We start from the raw sequence: 27,264 nt of genomic DNA on the forward strand, positions 1-27,264 counted from the left end.
TGTCAGTAAACCTGTTTAATTTTGTTTGGCCCAAATTTCATAAACTTATTGATCAATGTATACCCTATCTGAGGAATATCCTTTGAACATCTCAAGGAGCTGGTGTTCCATTGAACATGTTTTAGAAAATGCTTCTTTGGAGTTTCCTCATTTAGTATTCTTTTTTAGTATCTACTGTTTGCACAAATTAAAGGCTAATACCCATACAAGAGAAATTTTTACAGTACTTAATATGCATTGTAGGAAAATCTATATTTTACCATTTAATACCGTAAAGGTGAAGATGGCTTCCATTCAAAATTCCCAGTGAATGCAAAGGTGAAAGAAAAACTTGAAGTTAGGCATTGAATTTTCTGCTTAGGAAACTCAATTATTGGATAATTTGGACAGATAGATGGTTTCCCTGAGGTTAAGTATCTCTTTTCTGTTAAAGTCTAGACATTCAGTTTTGAGAGCAACTCATTTAATGTTAAGGGGTCTATATGGCTAGATGTTTATGGGGCTGGCCTCCTAAATGCTCATTTATCAAATAAAACTAATTTTAAAGTAAGTGCGGCCCAGACTGTATTTTAGAGAGAGGCAACAGTACTGGAGGATTCAGATATTAAGATCAGGATTTAGGGTTGGGAAGAGGCACAATATTTCTTCCAAGGACTTGGGAGTTATTTTGCTTCAGCTCCAAAGTTTGGAGGAAAGAAGGGGCTCATTTGGATAAACTTTAATGGCACAATTATACAGCATAATTCGATGTCATAAAATCTCTAAGAACAAAAAGGATTTGGTTCAGAAGCAGAATATAGCCATTAGCATTGACATGGGATATCCTCCTTATCAATTAGTTTCAGAAGGTAACAATGCAATCATTTGCAGCTATAGCTTTGACAAATTCCCTCAACCACACAAAAGATTAAAATGTTCCAAGTGGAACTCTGTTATTTCCCTATATTTTGCTGTAGAAACAATCTCCCAAATTAAGGATGCATGCTGGGATTCTTCTCATGCTACCAGACAGACTATCAATGCCAACAGATTCACCATGCAGAATAAGACTCAGGTTCTTGAGGTCAGCTTTACCTCCAGCTGCCTCTCAAAGGGTGCAACCAAGCTGAGAAATGAGATGCAAGAAAAAACAGAGAAAGATAGTGGTAGTTAGGGTATGGTCAATGTTCCATGCAAAATGAGGGGCATTTTTCTCCCACCACTTTAAACCTTCTGAAATGACTCATGGACATGCTAGCTGCTTCCAGGAAAAAGAAACATTTTCAAAATTTAATGCTCTGAATATTCACCACATGCACCAAGATTTGGACAAGATGATGGCTTGAAAGAAGAGCCTGAGACTTTGTGACAGCTATCAGTGGGTGACAAAATGTGCTTGACAAAGTACATGTCAAAAAAGAGTAGTCTTCAGACAAAAATCACGAGAACAAGATAAGACTACTGGGTCCTCTCATGCAATTCTTGGGTTGTGATTCAGAGTCTATTCTCAGCATGCTCAGGGCACCTTTATTTTTTAAAATCCTGCTAGAGAGAAAAAGAGTGTAGATCTTTCTGACCAAGTCACCAGAAATGGCATGCACATACCTCTTTGAACATGACATAGGCAAACTTTGATTAGAACGACCACAGGCAGATGATAATGGGTGGGATTGAAAAAGATTATTCAAGATCAGATGAAAAGATGATTTAGAAATTCAACCAAAGCAAGTCAGGTTAACTTTATACAAACAAACAGAACAACTCCAGATGTGAATGGATATTTAGGAAAAAGAGGTTTGACACTGAAATTCTTTAATTTGGGGTGAGAGTTATTTTAAAGCTTTAAAGCTTTGATTTGGATGGCTCTATCAAATTTGAGAAGGATTGGGAGCAACTAGGAGGGTGAAAAGTGGGTAGCGGGTGATTTTTGGAAAGCTATTCAGAGGAAATTCAATGAAGAGTGAAGAAGCCATAATAGGAAATACCTGTGGTTGCTTGGACCATCAGGGTCTGAGCACGCTGCCCGCCAATCAGCCCATGAAGGTGGGCAGTGTAATTAGAAGAAGCTTTGAGGTTGGTGATGACAGAGCTGCGAGACACCCCAGGCACAGACAGCACCATGGTCTCATGGGGGTGATCGGAATTACTAACTTCTATAAGAAAGCTATCAAAGGCAGACTCCTGAGCTTCCCACGAGATGGACACACTGCCCCAGGTCATGTTTGAGACAGTGAGGTGGCTAAGAAGAGGTTTGGCTACTAAAGCAAGAAAAAAAAGAAAAAAGAAAGTGTGTCAATTTAAAACACCATTGTAGAGTCAAAATCAAAACACATAAGACTAAATCCATAAAGTTTTAGACTTTACCCTTTGTTAATGGTAAAATAATTTGTCCCTTGTTGAAAATCGGTTTGAGCCATGAGAAACAAACATATATGTTTGCCTAATTTTCTCCTCTAAGTTTTTTTATACTTGAACCTGGCTGAGATAGCAACTGGATAATGTTGGCTCTCTCTGCCTTATCCATGGATCACCCTGACGACAATTTGTAGCCTCATGTAGAATGAGGACAGACCCTCTCTCAACCATGGGTGACCTAAATGACAGGCAATTTTGATGCTACGATGTCAACCCTTTTCTTGGATTTCCCAGACCATGAGTCCCCTTTTTGTAAACTATAAGGAAAAATTATCCTGTGTTTGTTCTGTAGACAATATTTTTTTTTCTAGTTTGTGATTTCTTCATTTCTCCTGTGTTTGTTCTGTAGATATTGTTTCTTTTTTTCTAGTTTGTGATTTCTTCATTTACCTCTCCAGAGAAGGCACTGTCTAAATTGTGCTAAGAATGCTACTTTGAATGTAGCATTAGAAAGGGGGGCTCCCCTTTCTAAATTCACATAGGGTTGTCTTTTACTGCATGGCAAAGAGCATCTGACTTAGTGCACATCTCACAGACACCACAAATTTAAAGTGAGAGCAGTTTATTCTTTTGTTTTTTAAACTAAGTCCCTTGTTTGAACACAACTATTCTACTTTTATTTTTGCCATTTATCATTCACTATTCTGAGGGCAAGACAGCATGTTCTGATCTTCTAGAGGTGGTGTTGGAACTGGGGTGGTCTGAATGGCATGGCTGCCTCCTGCACTCATCTGATAAGTAATCTTTGCTGTTTCCCTTTACTTTCCCAGTTGGAAAAAAATACCCAACACCATCAACATGATTATTAAATCACTGGGATATTTGGGTATTGCGAGGTCCAAGAGACTAGGAAGACAAAGACACTAAGATAATACAAAATAAAATTTACAAGACCTCTTTGACTGAGGCAGACATCTTTCAAAGTCAAGAACAGGTCTAGTTATATAGCTTTTTAGTTATGAGAGGTTAGAATTCTTTTCTCTAGATTCCATATGGCAAATTAGACTGAACTACATTTTATGCTGTAAACATCCTGGTCAGTGATAAATCAGGCACATGTCTTTATGGCAATGCATTATTTGGGCTGCTGTTGGAAAAGAGTTATGTTAAACAGCACCCCAGCCTAGCACCATGGAAGAGTTAGTGCCCTGTGGCTTGTACATCAATGGGAGAGGAGAAGGAGAGGCTTCACCCTGCAAAGAAGACTGTGGAGAGAGTGCGTTAGAAATGGGAGAATGCACATGTACCTGTCGTGGCTGTGGCACTGATGGTTTTGGTCCGGATGCTGGGAGCAAGTCCAGAGAGGTAGACAATAAAATCAGTACTAGGGGGTAGCCCTGAGATATGGGCAGTTCGTTCAGCACCAGAGATATTATATTCCACAGTCTCCAGCAACCTATTGGAATCAATAATTTCAATGGTAAAGGTCTCGAAGATCCCATCGGTAGCCATCCAGGAGAGATTGAAGCTCTCGGGAGTTATGTCAGAAACATTTAAGTTTCCAATTTCAGGTTCTTTGGCTGTAAAAGGAAGGGGTAGGGGAGAAGAAAAAAATAAATTTGAGTTAATTATTTGGCTGTGTTTTAAGATTGAGGTTGTTAATAGAACCATTGCTGGGTAGAGAGATCTGATAATTCAGGGCTATGATGGAAGGAAGCAATGTTACCAATTAGTGCCAAAGGGAGAGAAAAAGCAGTTTTGTTAAAAGAAATTAGAAAAAGGAAGGTATGGCAATTAGATTTCTCTACATGCAGTTGCCACATATAATCAGGCCCTGGCCAAGAAGATGTGCTGAATGATCTTATCAGGAACTGTTGCATCTTAACCACACTTGCCTCTGGGAGCCCTACCTCAGGGTTGCTGGCCACTGGTCAAAAGATATGAGTCCTGGCAACTTCCAGTCTCTTGAATTGCATTAAGGAAACCAAGATTACTTGGATGCCTTCCACAGACATTCTTTACTTTGAAGGAGCTCCCATCTATTCAAATGAGGGCTAAATAATTCTGATGCCATTACCTTCCCAAGGTGGTAACTTGAGGCTTCTGATTTTGTGACTTAATGGTAATTACCAATTTCTCAGTGTAATTCTTGGTATTTTTTTCATACTTTAGAGAAGGACCAGCCAGCCATTCTCATATTCTGTTAAAATAGCTTGTCCTCTCTTAACTGCTGCTATGTGGGCCAAAAAGGCTAGTATTGCATTGCCAACCAAGAGGGCTAAGCCAAGGCAAGGCAGTTTAGGCCATCCCTTTCAGCGAAGAAATAACATTTTGTCTTGAAGATGGTCCTGCCAGTGCTTTCCCCAACCATAAGAATAAAACATGCAGAGGGCAGGTAGGAGCAGGGTTTGAAAAGCTAGTACTGTCTCTTTAGCAAGAAAGAAGGCTCCTGGTCTCTGAGATCCTTCTAATAGATTTGTTGAGATACAGATCAGATGGGATTATGGAACTTCCTGCCCATAGGCCAATTCATCAGTGGCAAGAATGTTGCTATTGTTAAGAAGAAAAACACACACACATAAAAATACTGAGGACACCCAAGCCACAAGATCTGCAGAAAAGATCAGAAGTGGTGGGTGATTACTTTGCCTTCTGGGAAGGGATGGTTTATGGGTCTCAGAAAAAGGAGGTCCGGGTGCCTTCAGAGTAGCCTCGGCTGCAAATTCTAGGCATTTCAGGGTCACCGTCCTGGCAGTGGTTGCCTGTGCTTTATGTTTCTTTATCTCAGTGAAAATTAGTGAAATGACTGAGGTTAAAATGCAGAGCTATGCTCTTGCTAGATTCAACTGGGATGTACAGGTATGCATTAAAGTTTAGTTGCAATAATTATTTAAAAAGGGGAGCAGTCATATGCAAAATGAAGCGATAGTCTCTACCGAGCTTCAAACCCATGGAGGCACATAATAAAGATGAGCAACGGAAAACTGTGTCAGAGGAAGGCTGCTGACTTTGGCAGGCCCCCGGGAAACACTGAAGTCTTGTAACAGGGGTAGAGTGACGAGTAAACTATAATGCACCCTCCTGGGTCTGGGGCTGGGAGTTTGCCATCCAAAGGCCAACACTCCAGAGAGAAACTCTTGATTAAAAGAGCAAAAAGGGTATCAGTTCTTTGACATTCATAGCCCAGGACATTCCTTGTTCCAAAAGCTGCTGTGTGTACTTGTGCTAATGAATGGCTTTCTCTTTGGTACAGTCTCCAGTCATAATTGTGTAATTTCTTTTTTTTTCCTTCTGGTCTAGCTATTTGCTAATTTGATGTTCTAACAATGACTCAGTATCTGAGAGAACTGCCCGGAGGAGGGTAATTCAGTTCTCTTATTATACTGGGTGCATTTTAAAGAAACATTTCTTACATGCAAGAACCACACTACCCATATCCTTGAGGGATTTAGAGATAGAAAAGCACCATTTCCAACTAGCAAAAGACTCTCAGAAGTAAATAATCTGTGTTCCACCAGAACTCATATATAGGGAGGGAAGCTTTTAGTTATCTCCAAGCACTGGAGAAGTGAATTAAAACCATCAGGCTGATTCCTGAAACAAAAATTCATCATTCAAAAAAGATGTAGAATCAGCCAGGTAAAGTATGAAAGGCTGGGGGGCTGGAGATCAGAAAGGGCAACACCTGCATCATTCACCATCCACATGGCAAAGGCATGAGGACAAAGTCATAGCCCACAGGGAGGTCTCTGAGCATGCACAGCCGGCCACTGAAAGGCACATGAAAAGGATTCAGTTATGGCGAGATGCTGACTCCGCGCATGATCTCTTGAAAAGGAAGCAAAGAACCTTGGGGAGAAAGCATTGACAGGGAGAGGAAGTACCTGTGGAGGCCTCAGCAGAGAGTACTGGTGTTCTATAGCCCCGGATCACCCCATAGATGGAGACTCTATAAGGCGTGGCAGCCTCGAGGCCCGGGATGTCCACAGCCCTGAGGCTGCCAGGCAACGTGAGGTTCTGGGCTGCCTCCACTTTGTTGACCTCCTGCACCTGAATGACAAAGTGCTCATAGGCATTGTCAGCTGCGGTCCAGTTGAGTCTGAGGCCATCCCAGCCAACCTCAGACACGGCTAAATCTCCCAGCTGTGGGAGATCCTCTGAAGAAGGACAGAAAAGTATTTGTCAGTTCTATAAACCAAAAATGAGGAAACCAAACATCCCACAGCCCAACTCTAGGAAAGAGAGAAAGGGGAAAGATAATTTTTTTTTTTAATTCTTGGTCTCTGAGCATTTGCAATTTGAACTGTGGTTCCCTGGCCACAGTTGTCTTCAGGAGTTGAAAATGGCCAGAAAGGGAAATATCTACATGGTTTATCCTTGAGATGGCAAAGACATCTGCACCAATGCACAACCCACCGGGAGCATGCATTGCTAGCAGGTGAAATTCACATGGAAAAGTAGGATTGTGGGTTAGGGTAAGAGATACAGCAATGGTTACAAGTGCAGAATTTGGAGGCAAGTAGTCCTTGATTAGAATCCCAATACTAGCATTTGCTAGCTGCATAATCTTGGGCATGTCACTCAGCTTCTCTCTGAGCCACCCTCTCTTTACCTTTAAATGGAGTTGATGGTACTGTTTCATGGGATTGCGTGATGATTAAATGGTAATATTTATCAACTTCTTAGTATCATACCTGATACATGGCGAGTGCCCAATAAGTGTCAGCTTAATAAAGAAATCATTGTTCAAGTGTTTTCCCTTGGAATTTCTTACTCATGTCAGGGAGAAATCCCTGCTTTATTTCATTATTTATAATTAGAAAGATTATCTCATCACTAGCCACTGGCTACCTGCCTGGGTTGATAAAGTGTATGCTGTCTCAGGTGTGAACAAGTATGATGTTTTTTCTTTGGTCTTCTATCAGCTTTCAGGGATCAAAAGTTGTGTACTGGGTTCTCAGCTTGTTTCTTCTTCCACCTTTTTCTGCTCGTACTTTATGTCTAAAGGAAGAATGGCTGTATCACAGAGCAAAGCTGTTTGTGTGAAATGAGTGTGCCTACTTTTAATTAAAAGAAAGGAGATTTTTCTCAGTAAATGGTGCAGAACAGAACCCACTATTACTGCTTCTACAATGTAGAAAGGAAATTTAACGTAGTTGTTATTGGTGATTTAGAAAGTTTGGATTTAGGATATGGAAAAACCCATTGTTTTGTGGGATGCTTCTGAGGGTTAAATGCAGTCTCTCAGCCACTGTTTTGAAGGCTGAAGTGGCCATGGGTTAGAAGTTAGGGAGGAGAATATCTGCAGGGATTTCAACCAAAAATAGTTGAAAGATATAGATACTTGCTCTTGGGTATCCAAGGATTCAATGCCCTGTGAGAGTCTGAGCAACCTCTGAGCAACCTCTTGCTTTTAAGAGGGGTTATTTTCAAACTGTGTTCCACATAGATCTGGGGCTTTTCTAGAAGAACTGTGTTGAGAACATGGGTGGAGGTATCCCCCTCTTACTTCCAGGCACACCAAGAACAGCTGTTCACTTATCTGTCAAATAGTAGGGTTCCTTGGAAGATTTCATTTGCAAAAGGAGTTGTACTGCTAAAAACAAAAGTTTGCGGACTACAGAGGAAGATATGAGCATCTTGCACACAGACCACACCTGTCTCAAAGGCCCTTTTTGCTCTTGTTTGATCTGAAGATATTCCAGGCAACACAGGAATAAAACCTGGCCCCCTTATTTTTGGAATTTTATGTAGTTTCTAGCAACCACCAAGTTTATCTGTTATATAAGAGCAAGGAAAACAATTGTTTTGAATTGAGTGATTTGGATTGCATTATCAAAAGGCAGCATATGTAGAGTGGGGCATGGGCTTAGGGCTCAGCACAGAAACCCTATCACCAAAAAGTTGGCCCTTTTTCCCATAGCCCTTTTTGAAGCTATTTCTAGAAATCTCATGTACAGCACAGTTTTTTATAACAGATGGAGCAGCTCATTTTTGGTGGAAAATTGAGAGGAATTGTTTTTCCTTCCCAAATTGAATGAAAAGCATTGAAGTCAAAGGTGGCTGTCCTTTCTTGGAAATGTCCCTGCTTTTTGTATCTGTTGAGGAGAGAGTCCTAGATAGTTTCAGCAGAAGCTAACTGCATCATTTCTAAAGGTTATTATGTAGAGATCTGCCTATCAGGTGGGTGTTAGTTGGTGGCTCTGAGGCTAGTAATAAGGTTTTTCTAGAAAGTTCTGATCTTATTTTTGTGCCACAGCCCTAACGTTTGTGCTATTTTAAAAATCATGACTCTGTTGCTGTATGATAAATTTAGCTATTTGCTATTCAGTATTTACTACGTGATGGGCGCTTTACTAAGCACTGACATTCATTAACTTATTTATTGCTCACGACAGTTTCCTGAAGTAGGGTTCATTGCTGATTTAAAGATACAAAAAGGAGGCTCAGGGATGTAAAGAAATATACCCAAGAATAGAGGTAGGGCACGCTGGCTCATGCCTGTAATCCCAGCACTTTGGGAGGCCAAGGTGAGAAGATGGCTTGAGCCCGGGAGTTTGAGACCAGGCTGGGCAAAATGGTGAAACTCCATCTCTACAAAAAATACAAAAAACTTAGCTGAGTGTGGTGGCTCACACCTGTGGTTCCAGCTACTGTAGAGGCTGAGGCAGGAGAATCACTTGAGTCTAGGAGTTCGAGGCTGCAGTGAGCCATGGTCACACCATTGCATTCTAGCCTGGGCAAAAGAATGAGACCCTGACTCAAAAAAAAAAAAAAAAGTATATATCTATATATACACACACACATATATATATATACACACACACACTATATATATAAGTATATATTTGTGTGTGTGTATATATGTGTATCTATATATATACATACACATATAGTCCCAAGAATATTTAGCTAGTGAGGTGGAATTCCAACACAGACCTTCCTGAGTTAGAGATTCACGCTGTCTGTCAACAACATTGGGGTAGGATTCTGCCACACGGGTGAATTTTCTCTATTTCAATGACATGCTGGCTCCTATCATGTCTCCAGTCTGGGAGGAGGGTCATATACCTGTGACGACCTCTACAGCAAGGGGTCGAGTGCTGTGGCCCCTGACCTCGCCGTGCAGGGTGACTGTGTAAGGAGTGCCAGCCCTGAGGCCTGGGATTTCCATGGAACGCAGGCTGCCAGGAACCGTGAGATTGTGAGCCTCTTCCACCTGGTCAGCCTCCTGGACCTGAATAGTAAACTGGTCATAGGTTCCATCTGGCGTGGTCCAGTTCAGTCTGAGAGCATCCCAGCTAACCTCGGTCACTGTGAGGTTTCCCATATCTGGAACCTCCTCTGCATAAGGACACAGAGTTGCTGAGTTACTTAAAAAGGCAATTGCACGCTGGGATTCAGGTGAGATGGCATTTTGGCTAAGGTTGGGATGAGTTGTCTGGTTAGTGTTGATTATAGATGCATGATTTACAGCAGGTGTTGAGCACACTCAAACTGTTGGCACTAAAGCCAGGGTTTTTCTATTCAGCTTTTGGGAATGAAAAGTAGTTTTAGGAATTGTTCACAATTTCTATTCTTGACATACAAATAGGGCTATGGGGAGTCCTTTGGTGTTCTTAAAATGAGCTCATGAGCTCAGAGCTATTTTTTCTTCATTTACAGGTTGGGCTTTCCAACTTTTTAGATATTGTGACTGAAACTTACTTTGAAAGAAAAGCCACCTCTCACTTTTTTAAAGGAGGAGTAGGTGGAATTTTCCATGGAACTGGGCTACAACTAGGACTTAGCCAAATAAGGGATGTGACATTTAGGAAGAAGCAGAGATGATTCACTGGTATTTCCCCAATGTGGTAGGAGCTGATCCCAGTTTAAAGCAAGAAAGTGCTTTGATTCCTCCCGAGCAGAGACAAAGGGGAGGAAGTGAATTAGTGAATTCGTCTAGAATACCTGTCAAGACTTCAACAGAGAGAGGGGTTGTGCTGAAGTCCTGAGTGACCCCGCGGATGGTGATGGTATAATGAGTGGCTGCTTTGAGCCCAGGCAGGTCTGTGGACCTCAGTCCTCCTGGGACGGTGAGGTTCTGGGCTGCCTCTACTGTGTCAGCCTCCTGCACCTGAATGAAAAAGTACTCATAGGCCCCTTCTGGAGCAGTCCAGTTGAGTTTGAGGGCATCCCAGCCCACCTCGGCCACCACGACCTCTCCCAAATTGGGAGTTTCCCCTGGAGAAGGACAAAGAACTAGTTTAGTGATCAAATCACACAACAAGATCCAGGGAATCTTTAACACAAGAATAAGCTGAATAATAATATTACTGAAAAAATGTGACTTTCTTTAGATAAACATGCATCATGCAACTCTTTAAATTTTAGAAATGGAGCAAAGAGAGGAAAGTGCAGGAAAATATTTGTTTTTGTTTGTTTTTTAAATCTTAAAGAATTGCCTTAACCCTCAGTAGATGAGAGAATTTTGTGATTTTCTTTCCCTTTCATATATAGTGCCTTAACGTCCTTTAACAGGAGGGAGGCTGTTTATGGAGCTAAAGGCCCTCTGCATGGGAGCTGTGTGTTTAGTCCTGCAGGTTGAGCTCTGTACAACTCCCAAGGGTGTCATTCATGTGGAGTGAAGTATTAAAAGTTGCCTTGGGGTTCTGTAGCGTGATGGCCTCGTGTCACAATTAGACCCCATAGACATAAGTAGTGGCAGAACAAGTCCATTCCAAAGCTAGTCGTGTCTGATTATTCATGGGCAGTTTCCTGCTGGGAAAAACAGAAGCTATAAATAGAAAGGAAAGAGATACCTGTGGAGGCCTCAGCAGAGAGCACTGGTGTTCTATAGCCCTGGATCACCCCATAGATGGAGACTGTATAAGGCGTAGCAGCCTTGAGGCCCGGTATGTCCACAGCCCGAAGGCTGCCAGGCACGGTGAGGTTCCGAGCTGCCTCCACCTTGTTGGCCTCCTGCACCTGAATGATAAAGTGCTCATAGGCCTGGTCAGCTGCGGTCCAGTTGAGTCTGAGGCCATCCCAGCCAACCTCAGTCACGGTGAGGTTTTCCAGCTCAGGGGCTTGTTCTGAATAATGACAGAGATGGGGTCAGTTAAACTATTCCTCAGAAAGTTTTGCTTCTGAGAACCTGGGAATGGCAAACCCAATGCCACATCTATAGGCCATTGCAGTCCAAGTGCCAGGCTTTGTTCACTGCATCCCCTACTGGTGCTGTCCCTATTAAAACACCAGCAGGACAACAATGTCATATTTCTTTTGTGGCCGGGCATGGTGGCTCGAGCCTGTAATCCCAGCGCTTTGGGAGGCCAAGGTGGGTGGATCATTTGAGGTCAGGGGTTCGAGACCAGCCTGGCCAACATGGTGAAACCCTGTCTCTACTAAAAATACAAAAATTAGCCAGGCGTGTTGGTGGGCACCTGTAATCCCAGCTACTCAGGAGGCTGAGGCAGGAGAATCGCTTGAACACAGAAGGTGGAGGTTGCAGTGAGCTGAGATGGCGCCATTGCACTCCAGTCTGGGGGATAGAGTGAGACTCTGTCTCAAAACAAACAAACAAAAAATTTCTTTTGCCTTCATGCATATTTGGGTTTTTCTCTTGGAAATGGTATTTTCCTATTGATCAGTGTCCTGCAGATTTAGAAAACTATATGTCTATGTTAGCGATGCTCTGAGCTTCAGTTTTCATTTTGGAACATGTCTTGCATCATAATGGGGTGGCCCTCAGTTATTCTGGGGGTCTTGGTTTGAGCTGTCCGACCTTCTGTATTTTGAGACAATTGGCTCTTCTTAGATACCCTTCTTTTTTGAGAGGCCAAGGTGGGCAGATCATATGAGGTCAGCAGTTCAAGACCAGCCTGGACAACATGGCGAAACCCCGTGTCTACAAAAAATACAGAAATTAGCTGGGTGTGGTGGCGTGAGCCTGTAATCCCAGCTACTTGGGAGGCTGAGTTAGGAGAATCGCTTGAGCCCTGGAGGTTGAGGTTGCAGTGAGCCAAGATTGAGTCATTGCACTCTAGCCTGGGTGACAGAACGAGACTCCATCTCAAAAAAAAAAAAAAAAAAAAAAAGCCTCTTCTTTTTTGTGCTGCCTCAATATCCTATGGGAGGTCTGTTGTATAGTTTATATTGGGATTTCATCAGTTTCTAGCGTTCAAATCATTTACATAGATCATATTAGTAAAGATCAGAGACACATTGACACAGTATTATTAAGGCTGAGCTAAGGAAGGTGATAAGGCTTTGAAAAACTGTTCCTTAATAGAAAAAAGAAAGAGGTCCTGGGAGAAGCAGATCTTATGAAGCTCAAGTAAAACTGAATGCACCCTGTTCATTCATCTCGCGAATGCACGAAATTCCGTAAAAACTCACTGGTCTCAACCTGACTTAAGGGAGATAATTTGCCCAGGGCTGAGCTTAAGTGGACTTTGCATAGTTTAGGAAGGAAAGTATTTCTCTGGAAATGGATCCTGTAAACTAGAGAGTAGAAACTGACTTTAAATCATTTAAAAGAACAAACTGTTTTTTTCTATTTATACTTCACATTGCTGCTAATTTCAAATGAGCCTTATGTGTCCATTAGAGCAGGCTACTAAGTTGAAAATCTTAGCTTGGAATTTGATTGAGGATATCCTTTCAGAGGAGAAAACATTTCTTTTCTGGAATTGATTTAACTCAGACATTTCTAAGTTCTGGGGAACATTCTTCCTGCTTGTTTCATATTGTCAGAGCATACACTCCTTCAAATTTTGTTTGATCGAGAACAGAGGTCCGCAAACTGTTACCCGAGGCCCACATCTGGCCAGCTGCTTATTTTGGTAGTCAGCAAGCTAACAACAGTTTTTCTTACTTTTTTACATGGTCGGGAAATAAATCCAAAGAAGAATATTATTTCATGGTGCATGCAAGTCATATAAAATTCCAATTCTGGTGCCACAGATAAAGTTTTATTGGAGCATAGCCATGCTTGTTCACTTATATATTGTTGATGGCTGCTTTTGTGTTACAAAATGTGCAGTTGAATAATTGTAATGGAAACTCTCTGGCCTATAAAGTCTAAAATATTTACCATCTGGCCCTTTACAGAAAATGTTTGCAATACTTGATCTTGAATACAGACTCCTCTTTAACCCCGACTCATATCCTAAAGCTTACACCAGAGGCTCCAAAGCAGTTCTTAACCACCTAAACATGGTCTTTATGAGAAAGGGAGGACCCCAAACTGCAAGTGATGTATCTAGATTTAGGAAAAGAAAGGAGGTGTCAACTACCTTTAATCCTGCTGGGCCTTGTGAGGCCAGAAACAGTTCCCTGGATATAGTGATTATACCCTTGACATTGGGATTTAAGCACAACTAAACTCAAGAGCATGTCCTTCTCAAATATTTCAGCAGTCCTGATACAGAAAGAGATATAGGACAAAAACAGAGCTAAGTGAAAATTAAATCAACCCTATGTCTTCTTAGCTCTCCTTCTTATCCCACTTTCCTGTTTTTGTTTCTCTGCTGTCCACCTGTCAGGAACTAATCTGTCATTGACAACGTACCCCTTCGTGTGAATTAAGTTACTGTCTTTTTTCTACGGGTGTCTATCTTTTAATCCTTATGTCTAATTGTTACATAAAACATTTTTTTCTATAAAATAAATTTTAAATGCCCCCTTGAAAGAGATATTGGGAAAGTTACCTTACGGGGGGTGGGGGAATGAGATTGTGGATTGCCCATTAAGCTGTGGCAAAAGATGGATGGAGAGAAAAGATGCACGTTGGAAAATGTCTCTTCCTAATGAGAATCATCTTATCTCTTTGAATCGGATATTTAGTATGCCACTGATACTTTCATCTAATTGTCCCCACATCCTGTTTCATCTGTTCATATAGTTGATAGAGTGATTTTTTTTTTACATAATGTCATGTTGTTCAGTAAATAGTAATAGTGATGGTGTTGGTACTTCTGCTAACACTTTTGGCTATTTCTCTACTATTTTTTTTTTTTGGTAGGCAAATCAAGAAAGAGCATTGGTTTATAACTCAGAGAGGCAGTACTGTGGCCATGTCAGTAGTGGATGCTACGTGTGCCCCATCCAGATCCCTTTATTAAATAAATGCTAGCCAAGTGAGTAAAAGGTACAACTTCCACAAATAAAATCAGTAGCTAAATTAAAGAGAGAGGGGGTCAGAATTATGAAAGAAGGGGGAATATTATGAATAAAAAATACAGTGGACAATAGTTGAGATGAGGACCAAGAGGCTTCACATAAATGCTGGCTCCACATTTCAACTGCAAATGACATACTGTGGACTTACTGCCCTAGAAGCCAAGTGTTTCCATTATAGATTCCACACTGAATTTCTTGGCATTTCTTTATCAAAAGGCTGTTGTCTTCTTCTTACAGCTGTGCACTGGAATCTACCCTTGAACAATGTCAGTGGGCCTGGGAAATCAGAATTTTGAAACCCATTGCTGTGCTCCTGGTGGGTTGAGCAGCTGGTCTGGAGGAATTTCTGACAGTGCCAACTTAAAAATCTGTAGATTGTTACCATCTTCTAGATAGTGATTACCAAGTGCTGGCTTGATGAGGAACTCACTTCAGCGTCCACTTAGGGGAGAAAGAGTGATTCTCCCACAGCAGGGGCATGGTCACATCCAAGCCTGACAACCCCAAAGGGTATCTTCAGTCGCTTTACTCTCATCTCTCAGAGATAAGACAATTGAAATGAGAAGCCTTGGCTGCCTTAAAACATTCGGTGATTTCTTTGTAACTGCCAAGAACCAAGCCCCTTTGCAGATGCCCCTGATGATGTCTCTAGCCTCCTACCCTACTGTTTTCCCACTCTATCATATAGCAGGACTGTATAGCTTGCAGTTCACTAAGGTAAAGTTTCTCATGCTTTTCAGCTTTTCAGATGCTATTCCCTTTGCTGGAAATGTCATTACTCTTTCTCCACTTGCCCAGCCCCTTTTCTTTTTCAGAACTCAACCAAACATCACTTCTTCCAAAAAGCCTTCTCCAGTGCTTTTCATTCCCTTTGCTTAGGTCTGTGATGGGTACCTGTCTGTATGCTCCTGCAGCCTCCCACAAATCCCTCTAAAACAGATAAGCTACAGTGTTATAATTTGGGTTTTGGTTCTCTCTCTTATAGCAACGTGCACCATTTCTTGAGAAGAGAAGCTGTTTCTTTCTCTTCTATACACCGGCATCGCCTGACCCACAGTAGGTATGAAATAAATATTTGCTGGATGAATAAATATTTGAATAAATTTCAGTTTGGTCTGTGAGAAAATCAAAATAGCAAATAAGAGCAGAATGTTCTGTATTACTGGTAGCTGTGGCTAAAAACAAAATTCCACCTTTCTTCTTCCAAAATTCCTGAGAGCTACTGGGTTGTCACTGTCAAGGCTTATGTTGCTATGAAAATATGCTTTGCTGGCTTTATGTTTCTGCCTATCACCCCTGCCTCCTGTCTCTTATGGCATGCAGCAAATTCATGGCTTTGACCTTAAGCAGGGTTTAGTTGGGTTTATAAGAGTACAAAAGCAGAGAGAAAAGGGAGAGAGAGGAGAGGAGAGAGAAGAGGGGAGAAGAGAGGAAGGAGAGGGGAGGAGAATAGAGTGGAGGAGAGGGAAAGAGAAGGGAGGGAATGGGAGAGGAGGAGAGGGAATGATGCCTGGTACACACTAATTTTTTTAAATGCCAACAGACACGGTACCTTTCGTTCTTCCCTCCTCCCTTCTTTCCTTCCCTTCCTCCCTCCCTCCCTCCCTCTCTCCCTCCCTCCCTCCCTCCCTTCCTCCCTCCCTCCCTCCCTCCCTCCCTTCCTCCCTCCCTCCCTCCCTCCCTCCCTCCCTCCCTCCCTTCCTTCCTTCCTTCCTTCCTCCCTTCCTCCCTCCCTCCCTCCCTCCCTCCCTCCCTCCCTCCCTCCCTTCCTTCCTTCCTTCCTTCCTTCCTCCCTTCCTCCCTCCCTCCCTCCCTTCCTTCCTCCCTTCCTTCCTTCTTTCCTTCCTTCCTTCCTTTTCTATCCAGATTAAGCGGAATTGAAGACTTTCCAAGGGAATGATTTCCCTTATGCCTTAAGGAAAGAATTGGGGTGTTAATGCAGAGGTGGAAGGGAAGAATCAGAAGATTCTATGGAAATGCTGACTCTGAAGTAGCCAGGGTCCCTAAACACTCATGAAGCTCATACCACATACTTGTCTGCCTTCAGGGCACTGGGATTCAGCAGTGGATGATGGAATCAGTCCTTATATTCTGCTCACTGATGGGGAGGCAGGCCATAGATATTATAGTAAACCAATACTTGCATAATATCAAGGCAGATAAGTTTCACAAGGAAACCTAGAGCAGCTTGAAGGGGTAGATCAGGATGGGGGTGCCTTTTTAGGCTGGTAGTCAGAGAAGCCCTCTGTTCTGGGTCATATCTGAGCTGCTGAGTGAAATGAGGGAGCACGCTCTGTGAAGTGCTGGGAAAAGAGTGGTATCCAGGGAGTGGGAGCAGCACACTCCAAAGCCCGAGGGTGGGAGCAGGCTCAGAAAGCTTAAGGAACAGTGTGAAGGCCCAAGAGGCCATGGTGAAGTGAGCAAGGGAATGAGTGGCAGGACTGAGGTCAGAGGATGGGCTGGCCGTGCCAGATTCTGTAGGGCCCTGTAACCCATGGCTGGGTCTTTGGGCGAGAGGTGTGATAGGTGGCCAGGTTATGCATATTTTTAGTATGGTGCCACATCAAGAAAAAGACTTACATTATGGCCCAATCCATCAGTAAAACCCTGGAATTCCCCAGGAAAAATTCTTCAGGGCCACTGATTCTTCATTTTTCTCTGTAAGCCCCACAGACATTGAGTGGCGCCTGGCAGGCTTCTGCTATTAAGAATCCAGTGATACAGAGCTGGAAGGTTCTTGCTTCTGATGGTTGAACCTAAAACTCTGCAACATTTCAGGACTTATAGCCACATGGCTCCTTCACCCAAGAGCTCTCGCTTTTCCTGTTTTCTTTCTTCCTCTATGCTTACCAAGGTCAGGTGCCTGGGCTTCTACTTCTTTAGCTATTCCATTTAACACATCTATGTTTGCCTCTTATGTCTCTGTCCAAAAGCGTCTTCCCATTGTAAGCCTTTCCTGATTCTCTGAAGTTAGATCCAGTGTCTCCTGAGCACTGGCTGCACCCTCTGTACCCTCGATCGTAGTGAGCAGAATGTTATCTCAGTGTCTGTTTGTTCGCTACACAGTGAGTTCCTTGGAATTAAATACCCGTCTTCTTTGCTCTAGTAACCCCAGAACTTAGCACAGAGCATGGTGATAGTATTTTATTGACTGAGTGAATGCAGAAGGCTTTAAAAGTTAGAATTCAAGGAGGGAAAGAAGCGTCTGCTTCACCTTAAATGAAACATATATATTTTTTCCTGTGGAGAAAGGGATGGGGGAAATAGTCTGTGGACAGTGGAGAAGAACCAATAAAAAGAACTTTGCACATTTTTCCCACACTGAAGAATGTCTTTAAATACGAAACATGATATCTTTGAAATGGCATTAAGGAGGCGTGGTGGGGAAATGCAACTGCTGAGGCTTTGGAATGCCAATATGGGGCTCTCATTCAGAAACAGAATAATTCTAGCTAGTAAATCTCCTGGTTATAGCCACATTACCTCCTTTCTCTAGTGGAGAAGCCCCACACCTCAGGATCTTAGGGAGATAAAACTTCTTCAGTGACTGCGCAGGTGTGAGGTTTTCTCACTGGAGGAAGGAGGCAATGTGGCCATCACCAGAAGGTGGAATGATTGAGGGGCAATAGGAATCTCTCTTAGATACAGCATTTATCAAACTCAAGGGAAAGCTAAGGGAGAGGGGCAGAGGAAGGAGGAGGAGGAAGAAGAGCAGGAGTGAGGGAAGAGGGAAGAAAGAGAGAGAAAGAGAAAGAAAAGAGAGGGATTTCATCTTTTGGGCATTTCTGATTCATTTGTTGCCCCTTGACACTTTATAACAAGCTCATGTTTATAAAGCTGAAATTTAAATCTCTACTATAGATTTATTTCTTCTTGGTTCTATCCCCGCCCCCCACCTTATTTTTTAATTAAACTATTCTTTCAGAGCATCCTTTATAAACATCTTATAGTTGGGTGGGAAGCAGTCAATGCAGAGTCAACAGAATTGACCACGTAAACTCATTTCAGACTCTGGCAGGGACTGCTCATTGTCTGCCAAATTTCTCTCTTACAAATGACCTCAATTTTATGTGGAAGTAACATGTTCAGACAGAAGACTACCTTTCCCTGCCTCCCTTACAGCTAGGAGTGGCCAATGAACTATGGGGAGAAGTGATTGGTGGGGTTTCCAGAAAGACTCACCCAGAAGGTGCTCCTCTTTGGGAGTTTTGGTTCTTCCTCCCTTATGCTGCCTAGAACACAGATGGAATGGCTGTATTACAGCAGCCATGTTGTGACACTGAGATGACTTTGAGAATGGAAGCCAAGGACTAAAAATGGTGGAAAAGAAAGAAGCAGCCTGGGTGCCTGACAATTTGAAACTACTAAGTTATCCCTGTACCTCCCAGCTCCAGATTCATTTTATAAGAAAGAAAACCAACTTCTATCTTAAGTAAGTGACTGTGATTTGAGACTGAAGATATTGTGAGAAAGACTCTTCAAGCCATTTCCAAATATGTCCACACTTCTAACCCTTTTCTTGCATATCAAGCTTCAACTGGAATAACATCCCTTGCCATAACACCTTTGCCAGCTCTCCTGATTTCCTTGGATCACTCTTTTTCTCGAGTTCTGTCTAGCATTCTGAGTATCTAGTCTTCCGCAAGCACTATGAGCAGGCACAAATGAGTCCACATAACAATGCTGACTTTGGGAACTACTTTTCCTCAAATATCAGTACGGTACAATGTATGCAGTAGGTACTCAATACATGCTTACTAATTAAATTGGAAGTAAAGACTATTACTTGCCAAACCCTGGAAAAGTAACATTTTCCACCTATACATTTCGAATATTTGGTGGCCAAAATTGAATAGGCTTATTTTTCATAAAGGAAGAAATATTTTAAAAACCTGGTTGTCTCTTCAGTTTAGCCACCGAGTAACCATGGCCTCAGGTTCAGTGAACAGGTTGCATGGGCCAGAATGGACACAAGTTGCATGGGCCACAATGTCAGGATTAAGCTGTCGTCATAGACAAACTAGGTTAATGTCTTAATGACTAAGAGAAAAGAGAAAATGAGAGGGCACCATGGAAGTCTCAAAGGGCCGTGTGCCACTCTTCAGGGGTAACCTTGGCAGAAAGCAAAAGACCTGGAATAAAAACAGTTTGTAGAAAATAACAACAACAAAAAAAATATTATTACCAACATCTTGGTCATCTTTAAATGAAGTAAAATGAAAAGTAAATTAATTATTAGGCTAAAAGAAGGAAATAAACAAGAAACAATTGAAAAGATGCTGTGATGCACAGTTAAGAAAAGAAAACAAAAATCATAGGTAAATGCAAACACAAACCCTGATGTTTAAAGTTCTCCTAGGAAGAAATATTTTAAAACCCCTATTTCCCAGTGGGGGAAATTTGCTGTATCAGTTGACAGGAGGTAGAAAAGACGAGTAAGCAGCCCTTTCAAAGTGGTGTTCAGGGGCTTCAGAGATGGAGAAAGTGGCTTGCTTTTGCATTTGGCTTTCTCATGTGAGGACACCCTGGCTGAGGAGATCTGCTAACCTCAGAATCAACCTAGAGTTTGGAGGAAGCTCAGGGCAGACTCACCAGTGGATGCCTTCACACGTGCGGGCTTGCTCTTGTGTCTGCCTTTCTCGGCTGTCAGGAGGACATTGTACTCCTGTCCTGGTTCCAGGCCTCTCAGGACATAGGAAGTGGTGTTTCTTGGAAGCTGCACTCCCACCCACTGGCCTGTGGGGAGACTGTAATTGAGGCGGTAGCGGTCAAATTTGGCCAACGGTGTCTTCCAGAGCAGGGTCAGGCTGGTCTCTGCAGTTTCAGAAACCTGAAGGTCCTTGGGCGTGTCCAACTCTGGGAGGAGAACAGAGAGATGAATGCTCTTCAGGCTGCAAGACAGGGCTGCTTCTGGGGCTGAAAGTCAACTGCATCTGGGCTGGAATCCTAGGTCTGCCACAGAGGAGCTGAGGGACCACAGGAGAGTCACATCTCTGGGTCTCTCTTTTTACTTTTGTAAAATAGGTCTAATTATACATCACCCACATGACCCCATCGGAGTCTGAGAAGATTGAAAATAATGTCATGGAATATCCATTCCATAAAATGCTGCTCAGATTTAAAGCAGTTAAAAGGAACCAACTATTGATAAAAGAAGCAATTTAGATGAATCTCGAGAGAATTATGCTGAAGGAAAAAAAGCCAGTTTCAAAATGTTACATGCTGTATTGCTATGCACTGAATGTCTGTGCCTCTCTAAAGTTCTTATGTTGAAACCTAATCCCCAATGTGAAGACATTTGGATCTAGGGACCTTTGGGAGGCCTCATGAATGGGAGTGGTGCCCTTATAAAAGAGACCTTGCCCCTTCTGTCCTGTGAGGACACAGTAAAAAGATGGCCTGCTGTCAGCCAGAAAGCAGGCCTTCATCAGACACCAAATCTGCTGGCATCTTGATCTTGGACTTCGCAGCCTTCAGAACTGTGAGAAATAAATTTCTTCTGTTTATAAGTTACTTGGTCTAAGGTATTCTTATTCTTGTTACAGTAACTCAAATGGACTAATATGTGTAGGATCCCATTTATGCAGCATTCCTTGAAATGGCAAAATCATAGAGATGAAGAACAGATAAATGAATGCCCAGGGTTAGGCAGAGGGGCAAAGGGAGGGAGGTGGCTGTGGCTGCAAAGGGTAGCATGTGGGATTCTTGTAGTAAGACTGTTCTGTATCTTGACTCTAGTGGTGCATTCACAAATCTACATGTGTGATAAAATTGCATAGAACTAAGTATATACACACACATACGAATGAGTGTATGCAAAACTGGTGAAATATAAATAGAGTGGACAGATTACGCCAATGTCAATTTCTCAGTTGTTATATTAGTCTACATTTATGCAAGACGCTACCCTTGGGGGAACCTGGGTGATGGGCACAGGGGATCTGTCTGTATGCTTTCTCACAATTGCATGTGAATCTACAATTATCTCAAAATCAAAAGATTAAAAAAAAAGAATTGGCATGTAAATGTCCGGCCTTGCATCCCGCATAATGTGGAAGCTCAATGATGATCCATCTCCTCTTTACACACTAGCCTCCTTCTTCCTCATAGTGCCTGTGGGGAGGTAAGCTGGGGGCTGGGGGAGAGGCAGAGGAGGAGTTTTCTTTTTGCAGTGCAAACTTCCCAGAAAAATGGAAAAAAAAATCTTGAGGAAAGAATCAATGACCTCAAATCAGGTAGCCCCTCAGCATCCTCACCTACAAGCTGCGGCTACAGGATACAACAGGTAAGTGCAGGGCCTGGACTTAAACTACAATCCTGTTACTTATAATCTGCTTGACAGGGGTATAAAAGTTAGGTGTTTTCTCAGAGAAAACCCCACAGTTGTGTTTGGACTAGATAATGGTTTATTTAAAAGATGCAACTGATTACCAACTTACACATGTTCATGAATTTCTTACAAAGCCTGGTTCCAATTTTTCTTTAAAAAATCCCGGCTGGACATAGTGACTCACACCTGTAATCCCAGCACTTTGGGAGGCCGAGGTGGGCGGATCATGAGGTCAAGAGATTGAGACCATCCTGGCCAACATGGTGAAACCCCATTTCTACTAAAAATACAAAAATTAGCTGGGCGTGGTGGTATGCACCTGTAGTCCCAGCTACTCGGGAGGCTGAGGCAGGAGAATCTCTTGAACCCTGGAGGCGGAGGTTGCAGTGAGCTGAGATCATGCCACTACACTCCAGCCTGGTGGCAGAGCGATACTCCATCTCAACAACAACAACAACAACAAACACAAAATCCCCAGTCCCCTTTTCCATACAGGGGATGATGTTGGCATCATACAGATGGACCGTACTTATGTTCCTTTTGAATTTCAACATTGGGGCTAGATGGTACTACAGGGCCCTTTTTCCTCCAGGCTTCTACTTTTTCTCTTTAAATAGGTTTTGGCCACATTGACTCTGTCTCATCTGCCCAGCACCAGCTCAGTGGGATGGGAATTCCAGGTGTGCCCCACCTGTGGCTGCGTTGATGGTCGCTGGATTGCTCTCCTTGTCTTCCTTCACAGCAGAAACTCCAATCCCATATTCAGTTCCCGGCCTCAGACCTAAGGAGAGAATGTGCAAGTTGAGATTCATCCTGAAATCAGAGAGACTTTCAGAGGATGATAAAAATGGCTTTGAGTTGGTCTCTGGAGGCTACAACAAATTTTCGGAATGTTTTACAAAAGAACTCACTGCAATCCAATAAGCAGTATTTCAGGAAATTGGACTTATTTCTGAGGGTTGCAAATGGGGACATGTGGGAGCAGGTGCCCATCCTTTAAGGGCCCTCTAGGGCTGGCTGGCTCAGGCTTGCAGAGATGCAGAGCTCACCTGTGAGTGTGGTTTTGGTTGTGGCTTGTTGGCTCTTTGGAACATCAACCTCAGCGTGGTCCCCTCCAGAGATGGGGGCATACTTAATTCTGTAACTGTCAATAGCTGCCTTGCCATTCCTCCATTCCAGGGTGATGCTGTTATCTGTCTGGGAAACACGTCGAAGATTCCTGGGAGCATCGAGGCCTGTTTGAGAGAAGGAACATTTGTATTGAACATATCAGTCACAAGAGAGCAGGAGTCTTTGACAGCTCAAGCTGACATATGAAACGTGCCTGGAACTGGAGAGAAATTACAAAATTCTCAGCACACTCATCTGTCCCCATAGTGGATGTGCAAATCTAAACAAGTGCTACAGATTTGGCACCTTTCCCTATTATGGATGAGTGCGACACTTTAGTCATTTGTGTTTTTCTCAGACTTTGTGGTTAAAGAAACAATGCAAAGACTTAAAAATAAGCTCATGAGTGTAAAAACTGGTCTTTTGCATTTTCTCATCATATTTCATTCTTTATTTTATTTTTTTGAGACAAGAGTCTCGCTCTGTCACCAGGCTGGAGTGTGTTGGTGCGATCTCGGCTCACTGCAACCCCTGCTTCCCAGGTTCAAGTGATTCTCCTGCCTCAGCCTCCCGAGTACCTGGGATTGCAGGAGCACACCACCACGCCCAGTTATTTATTTATTTTTTTGAGACGGAGTCTCGCTCTTCACCCAGGTTGGAATGCAGTGGTGCGATCTCGGCTCACTGCAAGCTCCACCTCCTGGGTTCATGCCATTCTCCTGCCTCAGCCTGTAGCTGGGACTACAGGCACCCGCCACCACGCCTGGCTAATTTTTTTTGTATTTTTAGTAGAGACGGGGTTTCACTGTGTTAGCCAGAATGGTCTCAATCTCCTGACCTCGTGATTCGCCCGCCTTGGCCTCCCAAAGTGCTGGGATTACAGGCGTGAGCCACTGCGCCTGACCCCAATTTTTGTACTTTTAGTAGAGACAGGGTTTTGCCATGTTGGCCAGGATGGTCTCCATCTCTTGACCTCATGATCTGCCTGCATCAGCCTGCCAAGTGCTGGGATTACAGGCGTGAGCCACCACGCCCGGCCTCCTCATCATATTTCTAATAACTCACAAAGTACTTACTGAGCTCTGAAAAATATTTACTGAATGAAAAATTGACACTTTTGAACTTTTAAAATAATGCCGTAGGCTAAAGTGTTAGGAGGCTCATTTGTCATATATGTTTTCCATATACCATATTTTACTTTAAAAATATTTATTTGAACTTTATTTTAACCAGAACTTTTGTCTGAGAATATCAGACCAGCATCTTCTACATATGTCCCCCACCCCCAAAAGTGCTTTGGAAGGTTATTTGGAATTTTTTTTGAAAAATTAATTAATAAATTGCTACAATATTTTAAAATTTACAGGAGTAGAAATACCCCTTTCATTTTTCGTACTGTAAAATGAGCCTGGAAGATACCCCAACATGGAGTGGGATGGAAATCTTTCAATCTTTCCTTTACTATATCTGTTAACAGGGGGAGGCCTTTTACCTGTTGTGAAGGTCTCTTTGGCTGGGTTGCTTGACATGTCACCTCTGCGGGAGATGAGGGACACCTCGTACTCAGTGTCAGGCTTCAGGTTCCCGATGGAGTACTGGTTCTCGTCCTCTGTGAGATCGATGGTGGTACGGTCTCCTGGCACGTCTTTGATGCCGTAGGTCAGCTCAATGCCATCGATCTCAGCCAGGGGCTTGAACCAGGTGATCAAGGCAGTGGTGTCTGTGACATCTTTCACCTCGATCTGGCTGGGGGCATCCAAGCCTATGATGGGCAGAGGACAGAGAGGCTTCAGAGGTTAGGGCCATTGCCTGAGGCTTAGCAGAGAGAGGACTTTGTAACTCTCCAGACCTGTGGGTGAATACTTATACTAACTGCTTGACTTTACTTTGCCTTTCTGAACCTTAGTTTTTGGTTTGATAAGCTATAAGTAGGGATAACAGCAGCTACCTCTAGTGTTTTTTGTTTTTGTTTTTTTCAAATCTTAAGAGAGATAAAGCTTGCAAAGCATCTAGCACAGAGACTGGCCCATGGATGTCACATGAAAAAAAAAAAGGTTGTTCTTTTGTTATTATTATTATTATTACTGTTCTCATAAGTTGAGGAAACATGCTTTGGGGATACTTTATTTGAAAAGATGAACTTAGTCTCTTTAAATTTTTAATTAGGCAAAACTTCCTGGATGTTTCCTGAAAACTTTTCCATCAGAATTACCAAGCAGAAAAGTGAGGCAATAGACTGTCTTGACAGTGTATGGAAACTTATTTTTGATAGAAAGAATTCACGCAAGAAAGTCATTGCTATTTCAAGCCTTGCCTGTTTTTGCAGGCTCATCTTGACTTTTTCTGCCCCACCTACTCTGGTGTTGTACTCTGATAGATGCTCAGAGCTCTGGAAGCACATTATGCTGTTGGGCACCGCCTGGTCTCTGTACATGCTGTTCTCTCATTTCTTCTTTCTAAGATCATACTTCCCTCTAAAAATCTCCTATGCATCCTTCAAAATCCCACTTAAATGTTGTCTCCTAATGAGAAGCCTTTTTTTAACCCGGCTTCAGTCAGGTAAACACATATTCCCTCCCTGTGGCTGCCACTGTCCTTGAAGAGCATTCTAATATCATACGTGTCTCATTGTTTCATAACAGATTTCTGTACAGTTTGAGTCAATTTAGGTAGGGTTATTCATTGATTGAGAGAGTGAGTCTTTTAAATTCCCAGCAGAGACAGGCATATTCTGGGTATTCAGTGAATCTTTGAATCTTTCTTTCTTCTTCTTCTCCTTTTTTTTTTTTTAAATGTGTTTTCAGCATTGGTTCAGTAAACAATAACAAGTGACAGGAAGTGGGCTTTATACAGGGAATGAAAAGGAACAATAATTTACAGCAGATTGTGAGAAAACTGCAGAGTCTGTTTTTGAAGTCTAGGTGTTGACACATCAGTCCCAGCTCACAGATGATGTAAAATGCACAATGAAAATGATGTCGCAAAAATGGACAGAAGCTGCCTGCTCTGTGTTCTTATAGGTGCTAGCAAGCACCCAAACCGTACCTACTACCTTCCTTAGTACCCCTTGCATTAAAGAAGTTGGGTTTCCGTCAAGGACACTGATATCCCCCTAGATTTGGGACCCTTGAATAGCAGAAACTAACAATGCTCTGTATTTATCAGGTGCAAAGATGGTGCTTTGTTATTTATGTCTTGAGTCTTATGACGACCCCACAAGGAGAATACTATAAACCCATTTTTCAGCTGTTGGATCTGGAGCTTAAAGAAATAGATTTTTCCAAGGTGATGGTGAATGGTAAAGATGGAATTCAAACTCAGAACTGATTGAATCCAAAGCCCATCCTTTTCCCCCTTTACATGACAACACCTCTCAAACATATTGACCTCAAAAGTAAGTATAATACCACCTTTATATAGATGCCAGACAGAAGGAGCCAAATGTGTTCTGAACTAGAAGTTTAAGGCCCTTTACATCTGGAAAAAAGGTTAAAGGTTTAAAGGTTTCAGGTATATGTGGTAAATTGTGGCCGGCCGTGGCGGCTCATGCCTGTAATGCCAGCACCTTAGGAGGCCGAGGCGGGTGGATCACTTGAGATCAGGAGTTCAAAACCAGCCTGGCCAACATGGTGAAATCCTGTCTCTACTAAAAATACAAAATGAACAGGTAAATATTTGTCCCCCTATGTTGAAATTTATGATTATGCAACTTCAAATGTTGGAATGTTTGTTCTAAAATAAGAAGAAATAAAGCAGACAATTCCCAAATTTAGATAAACAAAAGAGCAGTGAAAAAAAAAGTTCAGTGCACCTCCTCCATAGCAACTAAGCATTTGCTTTGTCTTTTCTTTGTCTTTCTGGTGATCTAATGATTTTTTTTTCCTGTTGGTACCTGCTTTTCTACCTACCACAGAGAGGTGGTGTCAGGATGATGGAAAACACTTGCTTATGAAAGAGAAAATCCTTTGAATTGGCTCTGAGCTAGGCAAAATGTGCAAATATTTAAATGCAAGATGTTCTTTCTTGTCATTAGCAACTGATTTAATTTTTCCAACAACCCCCTGCCAAGAAGAGTCGATTACTTAAAGAGTTGGCGCATATGTTATCTTGAAGAAAATAAAGAGGTTTTCCTATATGGAAGTGCAAAATTATGCATTTTTTTCTTTTTAAAAAATTGCAGCTGTGCACGGTGGCTCACGCCTGTAATCCTAGCACTTTAGGAGGCCGAGGCGGGTGGATCACTTGAGGTCAGGAGTTGGAAACCAGCCTGGCCAACATGCTGAAACCCCATCTCTACTAAAATACAAAAAAATTAGCCAGATGTG

At 42.5% G+C, this 27,264-nt stretch overlaps 1 protein-coding gene and 1 long non-coding RNA gene across 43 annotated transcripts in view, besides 3 other annotated features; both read right to left on the reverse strand.

Annotated features, from left to right (window-relative positions):
• The window catches only part of TNC (tenascin C), a 98,583-nt gene that overhangs the window by 33,937 nt on the left and 37,382 nt on the right, over positions 1-27,264 (reverse strand). For 11 of the 42 annotated variants that reach the window (NM_001439084.1, NM_001439077.1, NM_002160.4 and 8 more), the window contains 9 exons: positions 24,432-24,701; positions 22,879-23,064; positions 22,521-22,610; positions 20,092-20,355; positions 11,136-11,408; positions 10,285-10,557; positions 9,406-9,678; positions 6,219-6,491; positions 3,642-3,914 (listed from right to left, as the gene is read on the reverse strand). In NM_001439084.1, coding sequence (NP_001426013.1) covers positions 3,642-3,914; positions 6,219-6,491; positions 9,406-9,678; positions 10,285-10,557; positions 11,136-11,408; positions 20,092-20,355; positions 22,521-22,610; positions 22,879-23,064; positions 24,432-24,701 — 2,175 coding nt within the window. Of the gene's footprint in view, positions 1-1,964; positions 2,238-3,641; positions 3,915-6,218; positions 6,492-9,405; positions 9,679-10,284; positions 10,558-11,135; positions 11,409-20,091; positions 20,356-22,520; positions 22,611-22,878; positions 23,065-24,431; positions 24,702-27,264 lie in introns of all 42 variants that reach the window. The other 31 variants (NM_001439087.1, NM_001439083.1, NM_001439080.1 and 28 more) reach the window with 9 other exon arrangements.
• Positions 9,652-10,851: an enhancer, noted in NCBI's record as "P300/CBP strongly-dependent group 1 enhancer chr9:117825442-117826641 (GRCh37/hg19 assembly coordinates)". NCBI's record gives its function as "activates an origin of replication core promoter dependent on BRD2, BRD4, P300/CBP, MED14 and CDK7 cofactors, with strong dependence on P300/CBP, by STARR-seq in HCT116 cells {active_cell/tissue: HCT116}" and the evidence as "EXISTENCE:reporter gene assay evidence [ECO:0000049][PMID:35650434]".
• Positions 11,211-11,953: an enhancer, noted in NCBI's record as "H3K27ac-H3K4me1 hESC enhancer chr9:117827001-117827743 (GRCh37/hg19 assembly coordinates)". NCBI's record gives its function as "activates a minimal SCP1, AML or CMV promoter by ChIP-STARR-seq in primed H9 embryonic stem cells {active_cell/tissue: H9 hESC(primed)}" and the evidence as "EXISTENCE:reporter gene assay evidence [ECO:0000049][PMID:30033119]".
• LOC124902256 (uncharacterized) lies at positions 17,629-20,085 on the reverse strand. The gene is made up of 2 exons (XR_007061747.1): positions 18,100-20,085; positions 17,629-17,982 (listed from the first exon to the last, which is right to left on the reverse strand). It is a non-coding gene; the product is annotated as an uncharacterized LOC124902256 (long non-coding RNA).
• Positions 22,262-22,789: an enhancer, noted in NCBI's record as "OCT4-NANOG hESC enhancer chr9:117838052-117838579 (GRCh37/hg19 assembly coordinates)". NCBI's record gives its function as "activates a minimal SCP1, AML or CMV promoter by ChIP-STARR-seq in primed H9 embryonic stem cells {active_cell/tissue: H9 hESC(primed)}" and the evidence as "EXISTENCE:reporter gene assay evidence [ECO:0000049][PMID:30033119]".

Source organism: Homo sapiens, chromosome 9 (assembly GCF_000001405.40).
Source record: "Homo sapiens chromosome 9, GRCh38.p14 Primary Assembly".
Lineage (NCBI taxonomy): Eukaryota > Metazoa > Chordata > Mammalia > Primates > Hominidae > Homo > Homo sapiens.